The 27373-nt window shown below is 41.7% G+C and overlaps 1 protein-coding gene across 5 annotated transcripts in view, besides 1 other annotated feature; it reads left to right on the top strand.

Annotated features, from left to right (window-relative positions):
- Positions 1-27373, top strand: part of FRMD4B (FERM domain containing 4B) — a 373805-nt gene that overhangs the window by 41636 nt on the left and 304796 nt on the right. The gene's annotated exons all lie outside the window — the stretch shown is intronic.
- Positions 14965-15637: an enhancer, noted in NCBI's record as "H3K27ac-H3K4me1 hESC enhancer chr3:69534465-69535137 (GRCh37/hg19 assembly coordinates)". NCBI's record gives its function as "activates a minimal SCP1, AML or CMV promoter by ChIP-STARR-seq in naive H9 embryonic stem cells {active_cell/tissue: H9 hESC(naive)}" and the evidence as "EXISTENCE:reporter gene assay evidence [ECO:0000049][PMID:30033119]".

The raw sequence follows: 27373 nt of genomic DNA, 5'->3' as shown, positions 1-27373 counted from the left end.
GTACATGCGTGTGCCTAGACATGTTTAGAGACAATGCTAATGCTGTCATGTGGAGAGCGTGACTTTCCCACTTGTCCTGGGGATTCTTTATTTGTGCTTCTTGATTCATCCTCTTCCCTTTTCTACTTCCTCCCTCCCCTGTGGGAGATGACAGAAAAGAGAGCGTGGGCGTTCCTTCCTTTCTCTCTCCCACTTCTGGGCAACTTCTGTGGCAGTCACTGCTTCCCTCTGTGTGACTCCAGCCCTGGCTTGGGGGGTGGGGGGGCCTTCTCTGTGGTTCCAGTTCTTACCAGGTTCAGGTAACTATGTGCCCTCACTTTGTGCCCTTGAGGCCCAGGGGTAGTACCTGCTTGCCCTTGTTGCTAGCCTTTTAGGTGGCTCCCATTCCTTGTTAGTTCCCTTGGCCCATCCTACACCTCTGCAAGTAGTTTCTTCATTAATTCTCTTCACTGGAACCATCAGCCAGCATCCTGACTCACTGAAACTCTCCTCTATGCCCAAATAGGACACTTTACCAAGTGTCAAGGAATAAGGATGACCCACTCAATGCAATGAGTTCACATTTCTGTCCTCATTAAGAATATATATCCTAGGGATCCTCCGCGCATCTTCAACCAGGAAATTATCATTGCCAAGTGCAGCTGACGTTATAAAATCTATTTTCATAAGTCCCGATGAGAGTTCTGCCCAGGAATACGTGTGATTTCGACCACATGCCTGACCTTAGTCTCTTGTCTGAAGCCAACTCCAGAGCAGCCCGGGGACAGCTCACCCCACCCTGCTCTCTGTCCAAACCACAGTGGTGACCCAGCTCAGCCACAGCTCTGGGTCCTGGGGCTTGGCCTACTCTGCCTGTAGAAGGCAAGAAGCCAAAGTGGCCAGGCTGTCATCTTCTGGCCTCTGGGGATGTTCAGATGTCCTTGACCACGGTCCAGATCCCCTTCTGGAACCCAGTCTGTCATCACATGTTGTCAGTGCATGTACACAGAGTCTTCTTGACCAAGCCGTGAAGCCAGATCCAGGAAGTGGGCTTCAGACACAGGTCAGCAATGGGCAACAGGAAGGCCGGAGAGGCCAGTATTGTTAGACTCTCTGTCTTCTTTAAATCTAAGGGACTGGACACTAAAACACACTCTATCATTGGCTGAGCCAATGCCTATAATCGGGCCACAGCTATTAACACCAGAAGGCTTGGAGCAGATGAGTCTGAATTCAAATGCAATCTATTAGAATCCATCTCTCTCTCTCTCTCTCTCTCTGTCTTCCTGCTCTCTGCAGATAGAATAATAAGATAGCACTTCAGTAGAGAGAATTCCTCACCAGAACACACAATTAGAGATTACTGGAGAGCTATAGAGATGTGGATTGCATCATCAGTATAAAGCTTCACGATTTAATTACTTCGGTCATAAACCTAGAAGCTGTCCTTGTTTCTGTTTTATCATTCTCCTTCACATCTAGTCCAACAGCAAACTCCTATCAGCTCCCATGCAAAAGTTATCCCAAATTCACCCATTTCTCTGTATCTCTTCTCCTACAGCCATGGTCCAAACCAACAGCCTTTCTCCTCAGCTGTTGTTTTTCATGCACTCTGTGCTTCTACCTAATCCACTGTCCACACAGGACCTAGCAGGAACTTCTTAACTACTGCTTGGATCAATGGCTTCCCACTGCACTTAGAATAAGATTCAGACTCTTTACTGTGGCCCAAAAGAGTCTATAATCTCTTGGACCCCAATTACACCCTTTTCTCCTGGGTTCAGGGCACTCTCACCACACCAGTTTTCTGTCTCCTGTTGTAAAGTCTGCCAAGTTGATTCCTGCCTCAGGACCTTTGCACTCACCGTTCCCCCATCTGGAATGCTTCCTATCAATTCTGTCTCAGCTCAGTGTCTTTGTTTTACAAAGGACTTTTATTAACAAGTATCCTTTCTAATGTGCCACTATCATCTTATATCACACTGTCCTGTTTTATTTTTCATGATATTAAATTATATTGTTTTTTGCTTAGTTATCTTCCCAAATAGAACATAAGCTTCATGACAGTAGGAAATTTATTAGATGATATTATTAAGTTGGAAATATTCCTGGTGTACAGTAGATATTCGATAAATACTCATTGAAGGAATAAGTCCTGGGTATAAATATAAGCTTTGAATAATAATGAGTGCCTGTGAGCCCGTCTGCAAATCAGTGAATACTTGTAAGCCTCAGTTTTCTCCTCTATAAGAGATACTAATAAGTGTCTGCTAAGTGTTTATTTACTCTTATAACTCTTAACAGTTATATGTTGTAGAGTTCTAAGCTATGAAAGTTATATGGGTATATTCATATAGCACAGTACCTGAACAGAGAAAGATGAATCCTTGTTGAAAAGAGGAAGACTGAAACTATCAACAATTCCCAGAAAATACTTCTAAGCTCAATACCTTGAAGAGCATGCTATATTTGCACAACTATTCTCATATTCTTATCCTTTGAGATTTCTCTTTCTGTCTCTCTCTCTCTCTCATGCACACACACGTGCAGGCTTCAATCCATTCAAATCATTCAAAAGGCATACTCTTTGTTATTCAGGAGATAATTGCCCTAACAAATATTCTTGTCATAAAATCCCCTTATTGCCTTTTCCAAAAATATTAAATGATAAGTTCAATCAATGTAAACTTCGCCCATTAGCAAAACAAATTGTCCAAATGCTACTCATAAATGAAGATGAATGTTCAACAGCACCAGCTTGATTCTGGTGTCCTCCTCAGTTCTCACTTGAGGTCCAACTCTGGAGGCATTGTTCTCTTTTCATTGAGCTTTAGAATGCAAAGAAATTCAGAGGAAAAATGGCTATCCCACTTCTCAATATATTCCCTCAGCTCCCATCCAGCTTCCTCGGCAGCATTCTCCCCAGCCACTCTTCCTTGGATGGTATACGTGCAATTTAAAAAGTAATGTCTTAACAGCCTCCCCAGAATGCTATTTCTTAGGGAATGGTGCTTAGTGTTAGCTAGGCTCACCTTGGACTCTACCACCCATTGGGGGATTGTTTCTGGAAACATCAAAAAGAGTTCAGCCAGACATGGTGGCATGTGCCTGTAGTCCCAGATACTCAGGAGGCTGAGGTGGAAGGATCACTTGAGCTCAGGAGTTTGAGACTGCAGTGCACCATGATTGTACCTGTGAAGAACCATTGCACTCCAGCCTGGGCACCATAGCAAGACTCCATGTCTTAAAAAAAGTTCCATGAGGGCACTTTCTTCTGTAATGGTAAAAATTATAGTTGCTGTTTCCTAAGTGTTTTACCATGTCCCCTGCACTGTGTTTCACTCTGTATACACAAAAATCCCATGGGGAAGACATTATTATTATTACTATTATTATTTTTATTATAAGGAGGATATTGAGACTCGTAAGTTCAGGTAACTTACCAGTCATTAAACCACAAAGACAAAGCCCACATTTTTGACCACCACTGCATATAACTGGGCCACGAATACTAAAACAATGAGAAGCAATCAGTCGTCCGAAATTCTTTTGTGGTAACTTTCAGGATATAAATTATAAACACCATGATAGGTGCTCTAGATTTATACTCAGTTATGAACTTTGACAAGCATTACAAAGATAACAAGTATATTAGTCAGCTTTTACTAGGTTATGCTTCAGTAACAACTACCCCCAAATATCAGTAGTTTATAACAAAATAAATTTATATCTTGTTCATGGTACTCATTAGCTGTAGGTCAGCTGAGGCTCTGCTCCAAATATTTTCTCCATTCTGGGATTCATTCTAAGATGGGATAGCTACTTGGCAGAAAACAAAAAAGGAAGTATGACAGGACCTTGTGATAGCCCTTAAAGCTTCTGCTTGGATACAGCATATGTCATTGCTTTCCACAGCCTATTGACCAAAACAAGTCACATGGTCAGAGTTTACATCAGTGGGTTCGAGAGGTATTCTCCTTCCTCGGCGTAGGCAATGCCAGTCACATAGCAATGGATGGGGAAGCAAGCTGTTATTGGGAGAAGAGCAAACAATTGATAATAATAAAAAAAAAACTACCATAGCAAATAGAGATGTAACTCTTGGGGGTCAGATACAATCAACATATCTCACCTATATTAATTGAAAGTATTAATTAATTGAAAGTGACAAATAGCCCATAGCGACTTAAGCAAAAAGGTGGACTTTATTGGCTTGAGTTAATGAAGCTTTAAGTATGACTTGGCCTGGACACTCATGATGTCATCAGGATCTATCAGGACCTAATCTCCCTGTCTCTCTCTCTCTCTCTCTCTCTCTCTCTCTCTCTCTCTCTTTCTCTCTCTCTCTCTCTCTCTCTCACTCTCTCTCTTTCATCTTTCACCTGTACTCTTCTTTATGCTGGCTTCATTCTTAAGAAAGATGATTGTCCACAGCTTATGGCTTATAGTCTTGTACGTCTAAACCAACAAAAAAGAGCATGTGTCTGCTGACAGATTCTGCACAAGTCCCAAGACTGACCCTAATTGGATGAACTTGGGTCACTCGCCCATCTTTAAATCAATCAATATGGCCAGAGGGTTCAGTGTTTTGATTGGCCAGTCCTGGGTCATTCCTGGAGCAGAAAGTGGGTCCTCCTGAACCCAAACACTAAGAGTATTGACTCTTTCTCTAAAATTCCTGAAATAACAAAACCTCTAAAGAGTGCAGTATTAACAAATTTCAAAGCATTCACAATAACTTGCATAAATAGTCAGACAGATTTGAGCGTCTGGCATTTTTACAATACTTACTAAAGCCACCATCTGTAACCATTTTTCTACTCCTATTTTACAAATTTAATTTGTCTTCATTACAAATAATGGTTAATTAGATGATACGGAAGATTAACTTAATGTTTACTGAGTAAAACAGAGGAAATAGTATAAATAAAAATATTTGAAATATAAACTAACCTACTTATTCAGGTCAGACCCAAAAAGGTTTTTGTCCAGGCTGCAAACCATATACTCATAGTCTATTCTTGTGCCATAAAATCACTGCATACTGGTTTGAGTGGTTTTAATTAGGGAAATCTGTTTAGTGAATTACTAGTAAATTTTAGATAAAATGATGGCCCTCAATTTAAATATATATTTCAACGTAGTCAAACAACAATAAAATATATTGTATGTCCATTTCATAGTTGAAATCATCACAGTCCCTTTAGCATCTCTTTCTTCTTGTGTTACTGAAAGTAACACTAGCTGCTGTAATAATATTTACATATATTTACTCACTTAATCCTTACTCACTCAACCTAAGAGTGAGGTGCCATTAATTATGCCCATTTTACAGATGAATAATTCAACTAAGTTCAAGGGGCAGAGGTGGGATTCAAACCCAGCCTGTCGGATGACCCAAATTCGTGCTCTTGTCTACCAAGCTACATTGATTCTGCATAGGAAAAGCCCATCTCTTTCAGAAGAAAGTGAAGCCAACGATAGAGAGTGACACAGCCCAGGGGCAGAGAGAGAGCATAAGCTCCAAGACCAACTCTCCTCCTGCCTTCCCATGGTGTATTTGTGCAGCCAACAGATTGCTCTTTCTTTCTAAAGGGGGTTTGGATTATCTTTCTGTTCTTCATAGAGAAAGTCCTGATTGCTAATGTAAGTAATAGCAGTAACTCACACAGGTTCTTCTGTTCTGGAAATGAAACAGTCTAGTATCACAGTCATTCAAGACAAAAGGCAGGATTGGGAGTTCTTGTCTCTACAGTAAAGAGGAGTGTATTCCCTCAGGAATTGGCATTCAGTGTGTCCTTAGTGGGGTTGTAGTTTATTAGGGAACTTAACACCAACCAACACTATGGGCCTGACTTGAGCTTCATCCTGGATGCTGCGACCAAGTCTATACCTTGCAACCACTTCTGGAATTTTAGAATGCTAAACACATTTTGGGTGCCTAGATTGTTTTCCTTACCTTTCCCTCCCTTTCCCTCCCTTTCCTTCCCCTCTCCTTCCTTTCCTTCCCCTCCACTCCCCTCTCTTCCCCTCCTCTCCCCTCCCTTCCCTTCCTTTCCTTTCCTTTCCTTTCTTTTTTTGGACGGAGTTTCACTCTTGTTGCCCATGCTGGAGTGCAGTGGCGTGATCTTGGATCACTGCAACCTCTGCCTCCCGGGTTCAAGCAATTCTCCTGCCTCAGCCTCCCAAGTAGCTGGGATCACAGGTGCCCGCCACCATGCCCAGCTAACTTTTGTATTTTTAGTAGAGACAGGGTTTCACCATGTTGGTCAGGCTGGTCTCAAACCCCTGACCTCAGGTGATCCACCCACCTTGGCCTCCCAAAGTGCTGGGATTACATGTATGAGCCACCGCACCCAGCTGATTGTTTCTTAGTGCCTATTCTCTGTTGTGACTTTGACTACCACCCCTCTTCCCACATGTGTGAACTCAGCCTTTGGCTTTCATGATTGTAGTTCTATTATCAGTTGCTTACTTGAGGCAGACCACATACGTTTATCTGGGAACACTGACCCTTTCTGGATTCTCTATTTTTAGCCATCAGCAGACATCCCTGATGCCAGCAACTTGCTTAGATTACTAGTCATGCTTTATTAGTATTCATAAAACTTGCTATTTTCTGTCTTACTGAATTTCCTTGCAGAGCTGGATCTCGTGCCCAATCATCTCCTCAGCCTAGTGACCACATCTATTTCTAGACCCTGGACCCACCCAGTATACACCACCTCCCTGTGGTTAACCATTCGTGGTGGAACATGATCACCAATAATTTCATTCAAGAAATACTATCATGGTTGGGTGCTGTGGCTCATGCCTATAATCCCAGTGCTTAGGGAGGCCAAGGTGGGAGAACCACTTGATGCCGAGAGTTCGAGACCAGCCTGGGCAACATATCAAGACCCTGTCTCTACAAATTTCTTTTAAAAAATTAACTGAGTACAGTGGCTTACACCTGTAGTCCCAGGTACTCCAGAGGCTGAGGTGAGAGGATGGCTTGAGGCCAAGAGTTTGAGGCTGTAGCAAGCTATGATTGCACCCCACTACTGCACCCCAGTACTTATCATTACTATTGTACTACTATATGCTTGGGGTCCCAAGATGAACAAGATATGTCATAGGATGACAAAACGTATCATACTCCTTCCTTGATCCATTCAGCAGTTTTTATGAGAACCAATTATGTCCCTCACCCTGGCTAGTGCTGATGATAACCGTAAGCAAGGTAAACACAGCCCCTGCCTTCGTGAAGCTTATAATCGAGAGAGAGATGGAGAGAGAGAGAGAGAATTCTAAAGAAGTAAGCAAATCAAGAGGCCAATTCATTACAGAGGCTGTAAATGCTAGGAGGGCGAATAAATGGAGTGCTGGTGTAGAGAACCAGAGAGATCTACTTGGATACAGTGGTCAAACTTCTGGGACCTTAAAATGTTTCCTTACTTTGTACCTAACCTTCCATTCCAGGAACTAGGAATTTTCAAATAGCAGCCAGACCTGGTCTAAATGCAGCTCACAGTGTGTTTTGTTTGGCTAGCAAAATATATTTTTTTAAATGATTAAGGCAGGAGATGGTTTTCCAGTTTGCCGTAAGCCCCACCACTCCCTATTGCTCCCACGTGGCCTTGATTATACACTTACGTTATCTGCCTTATTGGCTCTTAGCAGCATTTTGAGTTTGTAAGTCTTGACTCAACCTTTCAAATACTTGAGGCAGTAAGATTAGACCTTACACTGTACTCTACTCTCCCCTCTTAATTTGATAAATTGACAAGTTTATTTGGCCAATAGTTCCCTTTTTCTAAATGTTAAACTGGAAATTAAGCTAAAAGTCATGCATGTGAGTGTGAGTTTGTGCTTTTGATTGTGTATAAAGGAATGTGCATTGTTGGCTGCTTGTAAGATAATATTTAAGTTTGCCAGTTCTTCAAGTAACAGCTCTTGCTTTGATAATGACTTCATCCAGTCTCTTAAGAATCCTAATGGAGCACCTGAGACTGAAGATACAGAGATGGTTGCTGAGAATTATCCCTCATCTTTGAAACACTCATACATAAAATATAGAGTATATGTCATGCTTAGAAGACCAACAAGAGGACTAAAATGTAACTGGAAACGTTTACCAGCCATGAAGTGGTAGAGGTCTATTTAGAAAGCTTGCAAATAACTAAGCAGACATACAAGACATTCCAGACATGCTAGAAGGTTAGGTTGCCAAGCATTAGAGTTTGTCAAAAATCATGACCGCCTAAATGGAGCACTAAGGGTAATTATAGTTGTGCCTTCACTTTATGAAACTCTGAAATTACAAATCAGGTAAATTAGGGATAAGTGGTTCCCTGACAAAATGGTTTCTTCCAGGGTCGCAGAAGGGCAGGCTATGAATTTATGCACATAGCAAGGTCCCTCAATTCCTCCAAGAATGTATATTTGTATCAGATATATCTCATGCCTTCTTCCAGAAGGATTTACAAACAGTCTGTAATGATCCACAAAATACAATCAGATGATGTAAACTAAAGCATGTATTTTTTCTCAAATCAAAGAGACCTGCTCAGGTTAGAATGCTGGTTTTCTGTTTAGCTAATAATTTTACTGTGTAAAGGGGACTAACACTTATTGAGCAAGCTACTGGCTGCCAGGAATTATTAGATGTTCATAACCCTTTAAAGAGGGATCGCTGGCCCTTGTTCACCAGTGAGAAACAGGCCCTCAGAGGTGAAGTGAGCTGCCAAGCTCACATGGGAGAAGTGCCAAAATCAGGATTCAAATGCAGGTCTTGCAAACTTTCACTCTGCATGTGGTCATACCACATGCTCTGCCGCCTCCCCAAGCATGCAAGATATAGAAAACAGAGATGAGAGGGAATCTTGATTGCCAGGTTCAGCTTCCTGCCAGGGCAGGATGTAATTGCAAGGCTAAGACTAGAGCCTATGATAAGCTGATACTAAACTTGCTCTTGGCCGACTGTCTTGGTACTTGCGGGGGTACGGCGGAGGAGGGGGAAGAGGAGGCTTAGGTATAATCTCTGATCTCCGGTTGTTTGAGCATGACAACACTTCCTGAATGATGGTCCTAAATAATTTAGTGGTCTTTGAGATATGTTACTACTGGTCTTCAAATGTTCATACCTGGAGACATGGTTGCAGTGGTGTGAGTTGCTTTGCTGTGTCTGAACTTGGTCTTCATTCCTCTTGTGAATCTAGCTGGAGGCTTGCATATCAGCAAGTTATTTGGATGTGATGTCTCTCATGGTGTAACAGGTAAATTGTGAAAGCCTTTTGACATTTTATTGATTGACTGTGTGGTGCTTAGGTTAAAAAGGAAGCCAGCATCATTTGATTGGTTTTGTATTTGTAACTTTAACCCTGTCTCTTTTCTTCTTTTTCTCTCTTTTTGTTCTTTTTGCAGAAGAGAAGTTCAGGAAATAGAATAAAATATGTGCTTTTATGTAAAGTTTTCTTTAATTGCAAATAGGTGTCATTTTCTTTGTGTTGATTCTCTCACTAGCTCTTTTATCCAGAAGAAGATTAGGTGAGGAAATGGTTTTGCTTTTTTATTTTAAAACATTTTCTTCTCATCTTATCTTTTTCTTTCTTTTTTCCTTTCTCTTCCTTCCTTCCGTCTTTCAATGCTGAAGGGCTAGATGCTTTGCAGTTCTTCTCATAGAGTCAGCTATAAATTTCAGGACAAACTCCACAATAAGCTATGCTTCATTCTCTTCTTCATTTTCCTGGAGTGATCTTCATTTTGTCTGAGTAATCGCTGCATGGCTTCTCGACCTATTGTTTCTATTGTTTGAACTCCCCTGGGACAGACTCCGCTTTGATTTTCCTTGCATTGGAAGTGCAAGTTAGTCTTTGTTGCTTTTCTCTCTTTCCTCCTATTGATCTTTCCTGAGACTAGTTTTACTGAAACAATTTTCATTGAGCTGGTGCTGCACCTTTAGGTGAAGAGAAATTTATTTTTCTGGAATCAGTCTCTCGGGGAGAGGTTTTTAGCATCAAAAAATTGTTGTTAAGGAAATTCTGGCTCCTTCTTGGAGGAGGTGGGGATGAATGAGGGTGGGGTTTTGGAGAGGGAAAAGGCTTCATTCTTTTTCATCCTATTACTAGGGCAGAAGCAAGCAACCTTATCGTGTGCTTCATTCACCCTAAAGGCATCGGCCAACGTCTCTTATTATAGGCCTGGTGTGGTGGGGACAGCTGTGACAGAGCTCCCGTCCTCAGGGAACATATGATCTAGTGAGGAAGATACACAGTAAATCCTTTAGCAAGCAAGCAAACAAATACAAATGGGAATATGGAAACCAAGACAGAAGCTACTGTTAGGTACTTGCCATGACACAAATACAGTGAGAGGTAGGTGGTGACTGTGGGCTGCTGAAGCTATGGAAGTCTAAGACCTCTCTTTTGAGTTGAACCTCAGTGGTGAGAAGGAGGCAGTCCTGCAGAGGCAAGGGAGAGAGGTTTCAAGTAGAAGGAAGCACCATTGCAAACGCCTGCAATAGGAACAAGCCTGGCATGTTTGAGAGACAGGAACTTGAAGCTGTTTTGGAAGATAAGAGAAGCAAGTTTGTGGTAGAAAGAATCAAGGCATTCATGACAAAAAGAAGAACTGATGCAAAGATCTTAAAGAAAAGAGACTAACAAGATTAAGAGACCCTTTCTGGCTAGTGCTGAAAACTTCATGTAGCACATGATAGATGAAACTTTTTAAGCTTTCATTGGGATATAATTTATAAACCATCATCTCATTTAAAATGTTTGTTCATGTTTAAAATACACAATTCAGTGGCTTTTAGTGTAATCATATTAGGGCAACCAGCACCATAATCTTACTTTGGAATATTTTCATCATCCCAAAAAGAAACCCCATACCCATTGGCAGTTACTTCCCATCCTCCCAGCTACCCCAGCCCTAGACAGCCATTCGTCCACGTTCTATCTCCCTGGATTGCCTATTCTGGACATTTCATATATGTGGGATCATAAGATTGTGGTTTTTCTGACTGGCTCATAATAATGTGTTTGAGGTTCAACCCTGTTGTAGCTCTATCAGTATTTTATTACTTTTCATTACTGAATAGTATTCTATTGTGTGGATAAATCACATTTTATTTACCCATTCATCAGTTGATGAATATTAGGCTTGTTCTCATTTTTTGGCTCTTGTGAAAAATGCTTCTGTGAACATCTGTGTGCATATCTTGGGATGGACATATTTTTATTTCTCTCCAGTGGATACCTAGGAATAGAATTCTGGGCTATATGGCAACACTATGTTTATTTTTTGAGGAACTGCTAGACTTTTCCAAAGTGGCTGCACCATTTTACATATACACCAGCAGTGTGTGAAGGTTCTTGTTTCTTTCCACCTCTTTGCCAACATTTATTATCTGTCTTTTTTATTATAGCCATTCTAGTGGGTATAAAGTAGCAACTCACTCTGGTTTTGATTTGCATTTCCCTAATGAATAATGAGACTGAGCATCTTTTCATGTACCTACTACTCATTTATATATTTTCTTTGGAGAAATGCCTATTCAAATCCTTTGCCCATTTTTAGATTGGCTCATTTATATATGTATACATTTTATATACATATATCTCATTTATATATGTATACATTTTATATACATATATCTCATTTATATATGTATACATTTTATATACATATATCTCATTTATATATGTATACATTTTATATACATATATCTCATTTATATATTTTCTTTGGAGAAATGTCTATCATATTTTTTACCCATTTTTAGATTGATTTGTCATCGTATTAAGATATAAGAGTTCTTTATATATTCTGGATATAAGTTTCTTTTTAGATATATGATTTGCAAATATTTCTCCCAGACAGTGGATTGTCTTTTCACATTCTTGATAGTGTCCTTGGAAGCACAAAATTTTAAAAAATTTCAATGATGTCCAATGTATCACCCTTCTCTTTTACTGCTTGTGCTGGGTGTCACATCTAAGGAATTGTTGCCTAACCCGAGGTCACAAATATTTACTACTGTCTTTTCTTTGAAGAGTTTTATATCTTAAACTTTTTTTTTTTTTTTTTTTTTTTTTAGATGGAGTCTCGCTCTGTCACCCAGGCTGGAGTGCAGTGGTGTGATCTCGGCTCACTGCAACCTCTGCCTTCTGGGTTCGAGTGATTCTCTTGCCTCAGCCTCCTGAGTAGCTGGGATTACAGGCACCCGCCACCATGCCCAGCTAATTTTTAGTGGAGATGGGGTTTCACTGCTTTGGCCAGGCTGGTCTCGAACTCCTGACCTCATAATCTACCCGCCTTAGCCTCCCAAAGTGCTGGGATTACAAGTGTGAACCACCGTGCCAGGCCTATACCTTAAACTTTTATAGCTAGGTCTATGCCTTTAGTTGTATTTTCTATATGATATGAAGTAGGGGTCCCATTTTATTATTTTTCATGTGGCTATCCAGTTGTCTCAGCATGATTTGTTGAAAAGACTATGCTTTCCCTATTGAATTGACTTGGCACCTTTGAAGAAAATCAGTTGACCATAGAAGTTAGAGTTTATCTCTGGATTCTGAGGTGGGTGCATTTTTAATTGGTGCCATCTTTCTAACATGATGTGAAGCCTTCACAGAGCCAAGCTCTGGTTGCATGGTAAAGCAGCTGATAGCTGTCAGGTGAATTTTGAATTGGAGGGCCTTCAATTTCTCTGGCTATAAAATGAATTTTTGGACAAAAGCTCTAGTGTTGTTTACTTATAGGACTGGAAAGAGCCTTCAGGCAATTCTCAGATCCTTAACAGGGCTCCATTTTAACCACTCTTACAAGGCAATATCTACTCCAAAGCTCCTTTCTCTTTCTTTTTCTCTTTCTCTTTTTTCTTCCTTTTTTCTTTTTTTCTCTTTCTTTCTTTTCTTTCTTTCTTTTGTTCTTTCTTTCTTTCTCTTTCTTTTTCTTTCCCTTTTCCTCTTAAAACGTAATCTGGTTGAAGAGATGAAATTTTACAATGGACACATTTAAATTAGGTGATACATACAATAATACAAATAAAATAGAATGCATTTTTATTTGAGATCAATCACAAATTCAAGGGTAGTGATTTCTCAATTTAGCAAGGTTTTTGAAGTAAGCTGTAAGAAACATAGATACTGGGTATTCATCTTCCCAGGTTCATGCTTCCTCTCTCCGTGAATCCTCTCCCTTGAGCTTTATCTGTGGGCCATCCTCATGTGGCTAGCACTCCAACTGCCTCAGCATCCCTGGACAGCCTCCTAAATTCAGGTTCCAAAAGTCTTCCTGGATATTTGCACTAGGATGCCTGCAAATACCAAAGGCCCCAAACAGAAGAGTGATCTTTGACATCTTCTAAGAGGAAGCAGATTATGAGTCCTGTGGATTTATCCATTGCCATGGATCTGTCTCATTCACTAGCTTTCCATTCCTCCTGCCTCCACCAGTCCTCCTAAGATAGTGGAGTCTCCTGACCAGTCTCTTCTCCTGTAGTCTCTTTCTCTTCCAGATAGGCTGGGTTAGTTTTATTGGAAAACCCAATCTCTAGACCCCCAAATCTTCCTTGCCTATGAAATAAAATTCAAATTTCTTAGCTAATATTTAAGATCCTTATGTATCTGATCCTTCATTTGCTTTACACGCCTTATCTCTAACTTTCTCAGTGTCATCTAAAGGAACAAAGAAAGCTTTTGAAGATTTAAAGTTAGTTTTATTCAGAAGCCTTACTGGGGACTATAGACTCAGGCCTATAGTCTGGGATCAGCCATTTAAAGAGGTTCTATGAGACTGCTCCAGCACAGTATTTCAGCCCAGTGTGCTCAAGTACAGGTGGTGGAGATTCAGTACATGCAAAATCACATCAGATTTGTTCAGAAATCACATCAAGGTTTGGGTGTAAGAGTATATCTGGTTATAGATTACAGAGGCATAATCACTGACCCTGTCAGACGTTATCTTAAGTGTAGAGAAAGGCAAGGTCTAGGGTAATTTATCTTTTAAGGAATATAGTGACTCAAACAAGAGACCTTGGGGGCAGGGGCATGTTTTGTCTTTTATTTATCCTGTTTTGTCTTTTCAAAGCATCTTTCTGGAGAGTTGCATATCTTCACAGAGTCAGAGGCTTTGTGAAATTATTCTGGCAAGCAGAAATGAGCAAACATTGCTTCTTAACATTTGCTACTTTGCCTCACATCAGTGTATGGGTTTTCTCTTCTAACCAAACTAATCTCTTCAGTGTTTGTTCAACATGCCTTGAGCCTTCTTGCTTTGGGGCTTCTTTTATGCTTTCCTCCCCATGTAGTATGTCTGCCACTGTCTCTCCCTTCTCCTTATAAACATTTTCCCCCCTTTTCTTTCCAAGATTCAATGTAAATCCCCTTCTGCTCACTCCAGAGTGAAGTTATAGGTTCAATTCCCAACACTTAATGGCTTAGTTACCTGGCAGAGATTCAAACCAGCAATCCACAGGCCAAATCTAACTTACAAATATGTTTTCTTTTGTCCATATAGTGTTTTATAAAAAATGTCTTTGGGAGCTAAGCTATAAGGACGCAAAGGCATAAGAAAGATACGATGGACTTTGGGGACTTGCAGGGAGGAGTGGGAGAGGGGCGAGGGATAAAAGACCACAAATATGGTGTGGTGTATACTGCTCGGTTGATGCATACACCAAAATCTCACAGATCACTAAAGAACTTACTCATGTAACCAAAAACCACCTTTACCCCAACAACTTACGGAAAATAATAAAAATAAATGTTTTGAATTAGTTGGCAACAGTTAGAAACCTGATGTTTCATATTAAAAACAACAATAACCAGACTTCCAGCCAACTTGGGAAAAATTCAAAGCCAGGCTATTTATGCCCAACATGGCAACTACATGCAATTGCTCTATTGAACTGCCCCATGTAGCCAATATATGTGTATGTGCACCACCACTATGCATTGTATTCTAGAATGCATTGTATCTCAATCTAGAATCATCTGTAATTATAATATTCTAGAATACATATATCTGCATGTATTGGTGTTACAGAGATGCTAAATACATAATAGTGATGGCAGCGATGGGCCTTCTGGTGTGGCTGCTGCCATCACACTGGCCACTGCAGGGAGGGCACAGGGAGGTGGACAGCCCCACACCTGCAGCCCACTGCCTTGGGGGCCACCATGATGGGGCTGGGCTGCGTCGCACCAGGTGAAGGGGAGCTCTGGGTCACCCCAAGCACCAGGGCCAAAGGGGAGCTTGCAGCAACATTGCCCCTGCCCTGGATGCTGGTCCAGGCCCAGCAAGGACCTGGATCCCCAACCCCAGGCTGTGAGGGGGCTGGGCCAGGTGCCATGCTCCATGGAGCCAGCGGGAACCAGGGACAAGCGGGAGCCCTACCCCTTCCAAGTTGGTGGGGTGGGAGCTCCCCAGTTGCATCTGCAGCTGCCCAAGCTGTGGCTGCAACCCAGGCACCCCTTGCTTCTGGGAGCTGAGAGTAGGCAGGAACGCTGTTCTCCTGAGCAGGGCTGCAGCCACCCAAGTCCTGGGTGCGGATCTGGGCCTCCTGCTTCACAAAGTAGGCAGGAGCCCCCCACCCTGGTGCAGCTCCAGCTGTGCAAGCTGGGGCTGTAGATCCAGGCATCCCTGCACTCTTAGGGGGCCTCAAAGGCCCCACTTGCCCTTGCAGGCTCTGCGGTGCCTGTTCCAGCTGCCTGGCCTCCCCCGACTCCTGGCTCCCACTCCAATCTCTGAGTGGAGTTGGGGCCAAGCCCAGCCACTGTCACAGCCCAGCCGGGTGTGTGCACCCACAGAGCAGTGCTGACATGCCAGCCCCCTGCTGCTCTGGCCCCTCAGGACTTTGGTAATAGAGGAGCAGGGGAGGGGAAGTTGAGGGGGGTTGAGGACAGCTGGGAGCTGGCCTGCAGGTGCACCTTGGTGCCAGCAGCCTGGGTGCCATGGATGGTCACGGGAGGCAGAAAGCCTCCTGGGCAGAAGGTGGGGGGGCCCAGAGAAGCCCCACCTTCAGGCTGGGGCAGACCTGAAGCCTGGGAACTGAGCTGTCAGCCCTGCCTACTGGAGGGAGAACTCATGGTGCTTTTTCCTGGGCCTGCCCATGGCTGCCCATGGACGAGTTAGCACATACTTCCCCTCCTCTGAGGCCCATAAAAGCCTCAGGTTCAGCCAGAGCAGGGCAGAGGTCAGAGAGGATGGAGAGATGATGAGAGGACCAGCTGCAGAGAGGAGTTATCCTCTCTGCTGATAACTGGAGATGACTGGACAACCAGCAGCAGAGAGGAGCTATCCTCTCTGCTAAGAGCTTCAGGGACCTGCAGAGAGTCAGGAACACCAGCTGTAGAAAGTAGCAACCCTCTCCAGGGACTCCTCTCTGCTGAGAGCTGAACACTTGATGGGATGACCTGCCTACAGATAGGAGCTAATCACTGCGGGTCTCCTCTGAGCTATTCTAACACTTAATAAATCTCCTCTTCATCTTGTTTACCCTCCTTTTGTCTGTGTACCTCAGTCTTCCTGGACACAGGACAAGAACTCGAGCAAAGGCCACAGAGGTTTCTGGCCAGAAAATCAACACCCCAAAGATCTTGTAACAATAGCACCTGGTACAAATATATAATAGCACCTGGTAGAATTCTAGAATGCATTGTGTCTTGTAACCAGGCCTCCACCTTCCCCATCCAGCCCCTGTGGGAATCTGACCGGGCAGTCAATCTTACAGAGGCTTATGACCACTTCTTTGTCTTGAACTGTTAAATCATTCTTCTGTTGCTCTTCACTCCTTGTATTTGTAATCTACTAAATAAATGCACTAAGATTATTTTAACCTCCCATCCCTTGCTCAAAACATCCTACGCCTTGCTCAAAAAGCTTTGAGGTAATTTTTTAAAGACCTGTTCATAAAAAAGAAGAGAAATTCAAATAAAGAAGCAAGACCAAAGACTCAGGAGAATGTAATAAATGCAGTTGCTGTGATTTTTTGTTTAAAGGGGAAAGCAAGCTAAGATGTATTTTATTTCAGGGAGAACAAAATCGGCAAGCTGAACCGACAAAAACCTCACTGAGCAGGGTTCTGGTTTCATTATTTATTTGTTGAATGTGACTGGTTTTTATTTTTAAGTGACATTTTCTTTCAAATAAAATAATTTGGGGCTTTTGATAAGGTCATCGTAATGGAAATTAAGTCTTCCATTTTATTTCTGTTGATTTTAAAAATAACTATAAGGGTCCACAGTTGGTTAACATTTATTGCCTTTTATTTTTAGAAGTTGGCGAAGAGATCCGTAACAATTTTTCCACCAGCAGTTTCCAGGTTTTCTGTGTCTTCTCCTCATGAAGTTTCCCAGCATGAATTGTAGGGAAATGTCCCTTTGGTGACCATTTCCCAATATGGTCCCATATTTTCCAGTGTTTCATCATTAATATGAGGTGAGGCAGTTCTACAATCCATTTTAAGCTTTTCATTAGTCAAATCCTGAACCTTGGCATACTTTCTATCACAGACTCCAAAATATCTTCTTAAACTAAAGATTTTCAGAGGAAACCTCTATGGGATTCTAAATCATTATAATCTTTATTATCATCAGTGTAAGCACTTCATAAGGGAAAATACAATCTTGGACTGAAGGAAAGAAGCAGCTCTTAAGATTTATTTTAAAATCCAAGAATCTCTGGCAAAGGCCTTAGAAGCCACAGACACTCTTCTCACCTAAAATATTTGACTGTTATTCTCACACTGACATGGGTTGGGAACATGGAGTCTTCCTTTTGACCCATGGACCTAGAAACATACATACTTAGTAACTAAGAGTACTTTTGGAACATCTGGTACCACCACTGTTGATATTTTTCTTTCAATTTACTGCCTTTTTTGAACTACAAAAAAAATTTTAGGAAGCAGCTTTACATGCCTACTCTCAAAGGAAGACCGATATTCCTAGCCTAAAATTGAACATTATTGGGATATTCAATGCAATGAAACACACCAATGTTACTCAGTTCTATCTAGGTCCTCCTGCCTAGCCGAGTGTCTGCTCTTTCTGTACAACAGGGGGTAGAATTGGTGTTAGAGAAGTAATAAATATGTAAAAGTGCAAAACACTGTCACATATTAATTCAAAGTGGTTAAAAGCAAACCAAAAAAGAGTAACAGTTTACCCTGGGATGCGATGTTATTTAGGCACCCCTATGGGGGTCACCCGAGGTCATTTCAGGCAGTGGCACAAGCCCCATACTTTTGACAGTCCCTGGACGAAAGATGTACTTCCTGCCCCCTCTAATATATTTTAGGAACAGTTGGTGAAAGATTTGATTCTTCAGTTAAAAGGAAATTGGCATCAGTAAGCTTCTAGAAAAATCTCCACTGGTTGAAGTGTTCACATGAAACATGCTCTTTTAAGGAAGATGTTAGAGCATTGCGCAGGTCAGACTGCTGTCATTTTCCTGTCTCCTTCATTTTTCTCCCCATTCCCCCTCTCTCTTTTCTTCCTCCTTTCCCTTTTTCTCCTCTTTCTCACTTCTTGTTAGACATCTTCACAAAACAGTCACCTGTGGGAGTGTGGTTTTGATCATTAAGTGTGGGAGCAGACACACTTCAGAGGTCTCCAGGGCATGGCTCGTAATTCCCAACTTAGTTTACTAAGTTCTGTGATATTCTTAGTTAGGGCCACAGAGAAGCTCTCAGCAACAATGCCTGTTTAGGGTTATTTTTTAAATACTCTATTGCACTACAGCTTTTACCCCCACCCTACTCCCTACCCCTTAAAGAAAGCTAGAGTCTAAGGAATTAGATTGGGGCATTGAACTACAGGTCTGCAGGAAAACTTTTGCATGAGCAAAGCTAATGAATGTGTGCTCAGTGATTTCTGAAACCCAGGTGATGATTTTTGTCCCCAAACAGAATTTCAGCTTTTGAAAGAATTTGTGTGCTTTGTTTATTCAATTAGTTGCAGCTTTAGCATCATTTTAAAGAAGGAACTTGCATTAAAAAAGAAAAAAAGGATCTAGTCCACATTTGTGGGATTTTCTGCTTGGCTCTACCTGTGTCTCCTTCTTTTGAGAATGGCTCTGTTAAACCTTATTTCGCTGGTTGCTGTAGGAGCCACTGTTTTATACTCTAGTACCCTCTTTTCTGCTGACTGCTAGTTTATCCAGAGGTGAGTATCTGACTCCAACAAGGTCAACTGAAGCCCTTCTCTGGGATCAGATTCTTGAATGTGGGGCCCTAAAGATTGAGATTTTCATTCTCCAGGGACTGAAGTTGTGAAAGGTGAAGCTTGAGAGTTGCCATGGCCAAGTTTTCCTCCTTATAGGAAAAGTCAGTGAGCCAGAAATTGAAGTTGACAGGCAGAAAGAGTTAAGTGTCTTGGCTGCATTTGAGCCCCTGAGTACCTCCTTTCCAAGACCTGCTTCCTCCCTGCCATTCTTACTGCCTAACTGTTACGTGAAATATCAAAATAGCCTCTCTAAATTTCCCTTTTTTACTGAGGGATTTTCATACTGGGGTTCATTCATCTATAACCAAAAAAGTCCTGATAGGTAACAAATGATCATTATATGATTGAGTCTCATTCAGTAACCAACACTATCATGAGCAAAGAAAAAATATAAGAGGAGTGTGCCAAGATGGCCGAATAGGAACAGCTCCGGTCTACAGCTCCCAGCGTGAGCGACACAGAAGACAGGTGATTTCTGCATTTCCATCTGAGGTACCAGGTTCATCTCACTAGGGAGTGCCAGACAGTGGGCGCAGGACAGTGGGTGCAGCACACCGTGCGCAAGCTGAAGCAGGGCGAGGCATTACCTCACTCGGGAAGTGCAAGGGATCAGGGAGTTCCCTTTCCTAGTCAAAGAAAGGGGTGACAGACAGCACCTGGAAAATCAGGTCACTCCTACCCTAACACTGGGCTTTTCCGACGGGCTTAAAAAACGGCGCACCAGGAGATTATATCCCGCACATGGCTCGGAGGGTCCTAAGCCCACGGAGTCTCGCTGATTGCTAGCACAGCAGTCTGAGATCAAACTGCAAGGCGGCAGAGAGGCTGGGGGAGGGGCGCCCGCCATTGCCCAGGCTTGCTTAGGTAAACAAATAAGCCAGGAAGCTCGAACTGGGTGGAGCCCACCACAGCTCAAGGAGGTCTGCCTGCCTCTGTAGGCTCCACCTCTGGGGGCAGGGCAGAGACAAACAAAAAGACAGCAGTAACCTCTGCAGACTTAAATGTCCCTGTCTGACAGCTTTGAAGAGAGCAGTGGTTCTCCCAGCACGCAGCTGGAGATCTGAGAACGGGCAGACTGCCTCCTCAAGTGGGTCCCTGACCCCTGACCCCTGAGCAGCCTAACTGGGAGGCGCCTCCCAGTAGGGGCAGACTGACACCTCACACGGCCGGGTATTCCTCTGAGACAAAACTTCCAGAGGAACGATCAGACAGCAGCTTTCACGGTTCACGAAAATCCGCTGTTCTGCAGCCACCACTGCGGATACCCAGGCAAACAGCGTCCGGAGTGGACCTCTGGCAAACTCCAACAGACTGGCAGCTGAGGGTCCTGTCTGTTAGAAGGAAAACTAACAAACAGAAAGGACATCCACACCAAAAACCCATCTGAACATCACCATCTTCAAAGACCAAAAGTAGATAAAACCACAAAGATGGGGAAAAAACAGAGCAGAAAAACTGGAAACTCTAAAAAGCAGAGCGCCTCTCCTCCTCCAAAGGAATGCAGTTCCTCACCAGCAATGGAACAAAGCTGGATGGAGAATGACTTTGACAAGTTGAGAGAAGAAGGCTTCAGACGATCAAACTACTCCGAGCTACAGGAGGAAATTCAAACCAAAGGCAAAGAAGTTAAAAACTTTGAAAAAAATTTAGACGAATGTATAACTAGAATAACCAATACAGAGAAGTGCTTAAAGGAGCTGATGGACCTGAAAGCCAAGGCTCGAGAACTACTTGAAGAATGCAGAAGCCTCAGGAGCAGATGCAATCAACTGGAAGAAAGGGTATCAGTGATGGAAGATGAAATGAATGAAATGAAGCGAGAAGGGAAGTTTAGAGAAAAAAGAATAAAAAGAAACGAACAAAGCCTCCAAGAAATATGGGACTATGTGAAAAGACCAAATCTACGTCAGATTGCTGTACCTGAAAGTAACGGGGTGAATGGAACCAAGTTGGAAAACAATCTGCAAGATATTATCCAGGAGAACTTCCCCAATCTAGCAAGGCAGGCCAACATTCAGATTCAGGAAATACAGAGAACACCACAAAAATACTCTTTGAGAAGAGCAACTCCAAGACACATAATTGTCAGAGTCACCAAAGTTGAAATGAAGGAAAAAATGTTAAGGGCAGCCAGAGAGAAAGGTTGGGTTACCCACAAAGGGAAGCCCATCAGACTAATAGGGGATCTCTTGGCAGAAACTCTACAAGCCAGAAGAGAGTGGGGGCCAATATTCAACATTATTAAAGAAAAGAATTTTCAACCCAGAATTTCATATCTAGCCAAACTAAGCTTCATAAGTGAAGGAGAAATAAAATCCTTTACAGACAAGCAAATGCTGAGAGATTTTGTCACCACCAGGCCTGCCCTAAAAGAGCTCCTGAAGGAAACACTAAACATGGAAAGGAACAACCGGTACCAGCCACTGCAAAATCATGCCAAATTGTAAAGACCATCGAGGCTAGGAAGAAACTGCATCAACTAACGAACAAAATAACCAGCTAACATCATAATGACAGGATCAAATTCACACATAACAATATTAACCTTAAATGTAAATGGACTAAATGCTCCAATTAAAAGACCCAGACTGGCAAATTGGATAAAGAGTCAAGACCCATCAGTGTGCTGTATTCAGGAAACCCATCTCATGTGCAGAGACACACATAGGCTCAAAATAAAAGGATGGAGGAAGATCTACCAAGCAAATGGAAAACAAAAAAAAGGCAGGGGTTGCAATCCTAGTCTCTGATAAAACAGACTTTAAACCAACAAAGATCAAAAGAGACAAAGAAGGCCATTACATAATGGTAAAGGGATCAATTCAACAAGAAGAGCTAACTATCCTAAATATATATGCACCCAATACAGGAGCACCCAGATTCATAAAGCAAGTCCTGAGTGACCAACAAAGAGACTTAGACTCCCACACAATAATAATGGGAGACTTTAACACCCCACTGTCAACTTTAGACAGATCAACGAGACAGAAAGTTAACAAGGATACCCAGGAATTGAACTCAGCTCTGCACCAAGCAGACCTAATAGACATCTACCGAACTCTCCACCCCAAATCAACAGAATATACACTTTTTTCAGCACCACACCACACCTATTCCTAAATTGACCACATAGTTGGAAGTAAAGCTCTCCTCAGCAAATGTGAAAGAACAGAAATTATAACAAACTGTCTCTCAGACCACAGTGCAATCAAACTAGAACTCAGGATTAAGAAACTCACTCAAAACCGCTCAACTACATGGAAACTGAACAACCTGCTCCTGAATGACTACTGGGTACCTAACGAAATGAAGGCAGAAATAAAGATGTTATTTGAAACCAATGAGAACAAAGACACAACATACCAGAATCTCTGGGACACATTCAAAGCAGTGTGTAGAGGGAAATTCATAGCACTAAATGCCCACAAGAGAAAGCAGGAAAGATCCAAAATTGACACTCTAACATCACAATTAAAAGAACTAGAAAAGCAAGAGAAAACACATTCAAAAGCTAGCAGAAGGCAAGAAATAACTAAAATCAGAGCAGAACTGAAGGAAATAGAGACACAAAAAACCCTTCAAAAAATCAATAAATCCAGGAGCTGGTTTTTTGAAAGGATCAACAGAATTGATAGACTGCTAGCAAGACTAATAAAGAAGAAAAGAGAGAAGAATCAAATAGATGCAATAAAAAATGATAAAGGGGATATCACCACTGATCCCTCAGAAATACAAACTACCATCAGAGAATACTACAAACACCTCTACGCAAATAAACTAGAAAATCTAGAAGAAATGGATAAATTCCTGGACACATACACCCTCCCAAGACTAAACCAGGAAGAAGTTGAATCTCTGAATAGACCAATAACAGGCTCTGAAATTGTGGCAATAATCAATAGCTTACCAACCAAAAAGAGTCCAGGACCAGAGGGATTCACAGCCGAATTCTAACAGAGGTACAAGGAGGAACTGGTACCATTCCTTCTGAAACTATTCCAATCAACAGAAAAAGAGGGAATCCTCCCTAACTCATTTTATGAGGCCAGCATCATCCTGATACCAAAGCCTGGCAGAGACATAACCAAAAAAGAGAATTTTAGACCAATATCCTTGATGAACATTGATGCAAAAATCCTCAATAAAATACTGGCAAACCAAATCTAGCAGCACATCAAAAAGCTTATCCACCATGATCAAGTGGGCTTCATCCCTGGGATGCAAGGCTGGTTCAATATATGCAAATCAATAAACGTAATCCAGCATATAAACAGAACCAAAGACAAAAACCACATGCTTATCTCAATAGATGCAGAAAAGGCCTTTGACAAAATTCAACAACCCTTCATGCTAAAAACTCTCAGTAAATTAGGTATTGATGGGACGTATCTCAAATTATAAGAGCTATCTATGACAAACCCACAGCCAATATCATACTGAATGGGCAAAAACTGGAAGCATTCCCTTTGAAAACTGGCACAAGACAGGGATGCCCTCTCTCACCACTCCTATTCAACATAGTGTTGGAAGTTCTGGCCAGAGAAATCAGGCAGGAGAAGGAAATAAAGGGTATTCAATTAGGAAAAGAGGAAGTCAAATTGTCCCTGTTTGCAGATGACATGATTGTGTATCTAGAAAACCCCATCGTCTCAGCCCAAAATCTCCTTAAGCTGGTAAGCAACCTCAGCAAAGTCTCAGGATACAAAATCAATGTACAAAAATCACAAGCATTCTTACACACCAAAAACAGACAAACAGAGAGCCAAATCATGAGTGAACTCCCATTCACAATTGCTTCAAAGAGAATAAAATATCTAGGAATCCAACTTACAAGGGATGTGAAGGACCTCTTCAAGGAGAACTACAAACCACTGCTCAGTGAAATAAAAGAGGATACAAAGAAATGGAAGAACATTCCATGCTTATGGGTAGGAAGAATCAATATCGTGAAAATAGCCATACTGCCCAAGGTAATTTATAGATTCAAAGCCATCCCCATCAAGCTACCAATGACTTTCTTCACAGAATTGGAAAAAACTACTTTAAAGTTCATATGGAACCAAAAAAGAGCCCTCATTGCCAAGTCAATCCTAAGCCAAAAGAACACAGCTGGAGGCATCACGCTACCTGACTTCAAACTATACTACAAGGCTAGAGTAACCAAAACAGCAGGGTACTGGTACCAAAACAGAGATATAGATCAATGGAACAGAACAGAGCCCTCAGAAATAATGCCACATATCTACAACTATCTGATCTTTGACAAACCTGACAAAAACAAGCAATGGGGAAAGGATTCCTTATTTAATAAATGGTGCTGGGAAAACTGGCTAGCCATATGTAGAAAGCTGAAACTGGATCCCTTGCTTACACCTTATAAAAAAATTAATTCAAGATGGAATAAAGACTTAAACGTTAGACCTAAAACCATAAAAACCCTAGAAGAAAACCTAGGCATTACCATTAAGGACATAGGCATGGGCAAGGACTTCATGTCTAAAACACCAAAGGCAATGGCAACAAAAGCCAAAATTGACAAATGGGATCTAATTAAACTAAAGAGCTTCTGCACAGCAAAAGAAACTACCATCAGAGTGAACAGGCAACCTACAAAATGGGAGAAAATTTTCACAACCTACTCATCTGACAAAGGGCTAATATCCAGAATCTACAATGAACTCAAACAAATTTACAAGAAAAAAACAACCCCATCAAAAAGTGGGTGAAGGACATGAACAGACAGTTCTCAAAAGAAGACATTTATGCAGCCAAAAAAACATATGAAAAAATGCTCATCATCACTGGCCATCAGAGAAATGCAAATCAAAACCACAATGAAATACCATCTCACACCAGTTAGAATGGCAATCATTAAAAAGTCAGGAAACAACAGGTGCTGGAGAGGATGTGGAGAAATAGGAACAGTTTTACACTGTTGGTGGGAATGTAAACTAGTTCAACCATTGTGGAAGTCGGTGTGGCGATTCCCAGGGATCTAGAACTAGAAATACCATTTGACCCAGCCATCCCATTACTGGGTATATACCCAAAGGATTATAAATCATGCTTCTATAAAGACACATGCACACGTATGTTTATTGCGGCTCTATTCACAATAGCAAAGACTTGGAACCAACCCAAATGTCCAACAATGATAGACTGGATTAAGAAAATATGGCACATATACACCATGGAATACTATGCAGCCATAAAAAATGATGAGTTCATGTCGTTTGTAGGGACATGGATGAAATTGGAAATCATCATTCTCAGTAAACTATCGTAAGAACAAAAAACCAAACACCACATATTCTCACTCATAGGTGGGAATTGAACAGTGAGAACACATGGACACCGGAAGGGGAACGTTACACTCTGGGGACTGTTGTGGGGTGGGGGGAAGGGGGAGGGATAGCATTAGGAGATATACCTAATGCTAAATGACGAGTTAATGGGTGCAGCACAGCAGCATGGCACACGTATACCTATGTAACTAACCTGCACATTTCGCACATGTACCCTAAAACTTAAAGTATAATAATAATAAAAGAAAAAAAAGAAAAAGAAAAAATAGAAACACAGGTCAGGAAATTAGCTTATGACACCTCAGACTGTGATCCTCACAACAGCACTAGTGAGGTAAGTAATAACCTGGCCCTGTTTTGTAGATTAAGAACTGTGGCCCTAAGAGGTAAGGGCACACACCCGAGGTCACGTTGCTATGTATTGTGTAATTTGGGAACCAACAGCAAGACATTTCCTTTTTCCCTCAAACACATTCTTTTGGTCTAAGCTTGAAAGCCGCTTCTTCCCAAAGCCTTTAGAATTCCTGGACCACATGAATTGCTCTGTCTATAGGCTTTCCTAGCATCCTCTCTTTCCCCTTTGATAGCATTTTATCCCTGGTTTAAGGGGTTGTTAAACAGTCCGTCTTCCACATCAGACAGTAGTCTCTATGAAGGCAGGAACCCTGTCTATCTTGTTCACTCTTGCCCCTTGTGTGGCATGTGCTTAGTATACCTAAATGGTGACTGAATGGATGAGTAATAGCACACAAGATCGGCAGCAATGCTCCAGTGTTTAAAGCAATCAAGGTATTGGAACATATCTTCTAATTGTAATTCTTTGGTTTTTGCAGTGTTCAACATTTGCTGTTGTAATAATATATGAAGCATTTAGACTTGTAGCTTTTGGGGCAGAAATGCTCATAGATGAACTACCAGGAACTCCACTGTTTCCCTGGCTTTCCTTCCTTTGGGCTGGGGATTTTAATAAACTGTCAGTCACAGAACCATCCCCAATTCCCCTTGGAACACACACTAGAACAATAATATGAGGAAGTGAGCAGCAATACTCAGGAACTTAACTCAGCGTCATCAGATGGTAGTTTTGGAATGACCATTTGCAACTTCATGCTGCTGAGTTTCCCCAGATATACCCTGGTTCCTACTCTACCAGAATTGTATTGTTCACTCTGCCTTTAATTCTGGGAGCTATCTAAAGCCTTTCAAATACATTTCTTTCTTCCTTTCTTTCTTATTAACTTTGGTTTGCTAAAACAGGTTTCTGTCACATGTATTCAAGATTCTGTAGCAATACATGAGCTAAGACCAGGCTGAAGATGAGAAAATAGAGGAGAGCAAGTAATTCAGACCATTGCATAAATCACTGATGGGCTTTACCATCCCTTGGGCATTTGCAGTTTAGAAGAGAACTTGGATGACGGTAGGGCATCTCTAATTTTTGTATTGTGTAGGGAAGGTTGGAAAAGAGGGAGAAGACAAGTTACATGGCAGGATGGGATACGGCTGGGATGGGAGAAGCCTGGGCAGCCTAAGCGCAAACCCTTGAAAGATCAATAACATTTGTTAGAAGTGGGACTAGTAGAAGCAGCCTTCTCTTGTTGGATTTACTGGGTTTTCTCCTTATTGACTTAACCTTGTGTAGGGTCACTTCTTCAACCCCTTGCCCAAAGCTACTTTGCTTTTCACCTAAATTTTTATGTCATATTCAGCAACGACAGAGTTTCATAAATTATATTAGTTGTATTAAACTCATTATTAAAAATCATTGTGAATGCCCACATGGATGGATTATAAGCCACCAATTAAATCTTCAATGGACACAAAAACCTAAGGATGTTGGGAAAATAAAAGTATATATACTTGGATGATTAAAAG

Source organism: Homo sapiens, chromosome 3, assembly GCF_000001405.40.
Source record: "Homo sapiens chromosome 3, GRCh38.p14 Primary Assembly".
NCBI classification, from domain to species: domain Eukaryota; kingdom Metazoa; phylum Chordata; class Mammalia; order Primates; family Hominidae; genus Homo; species Homo sapiens.
The sequence above is the reverse complement of the archived record's forward strand: the minus strand, read 5'-3'. Positions and strand labels throughout refer to the sequence as shown.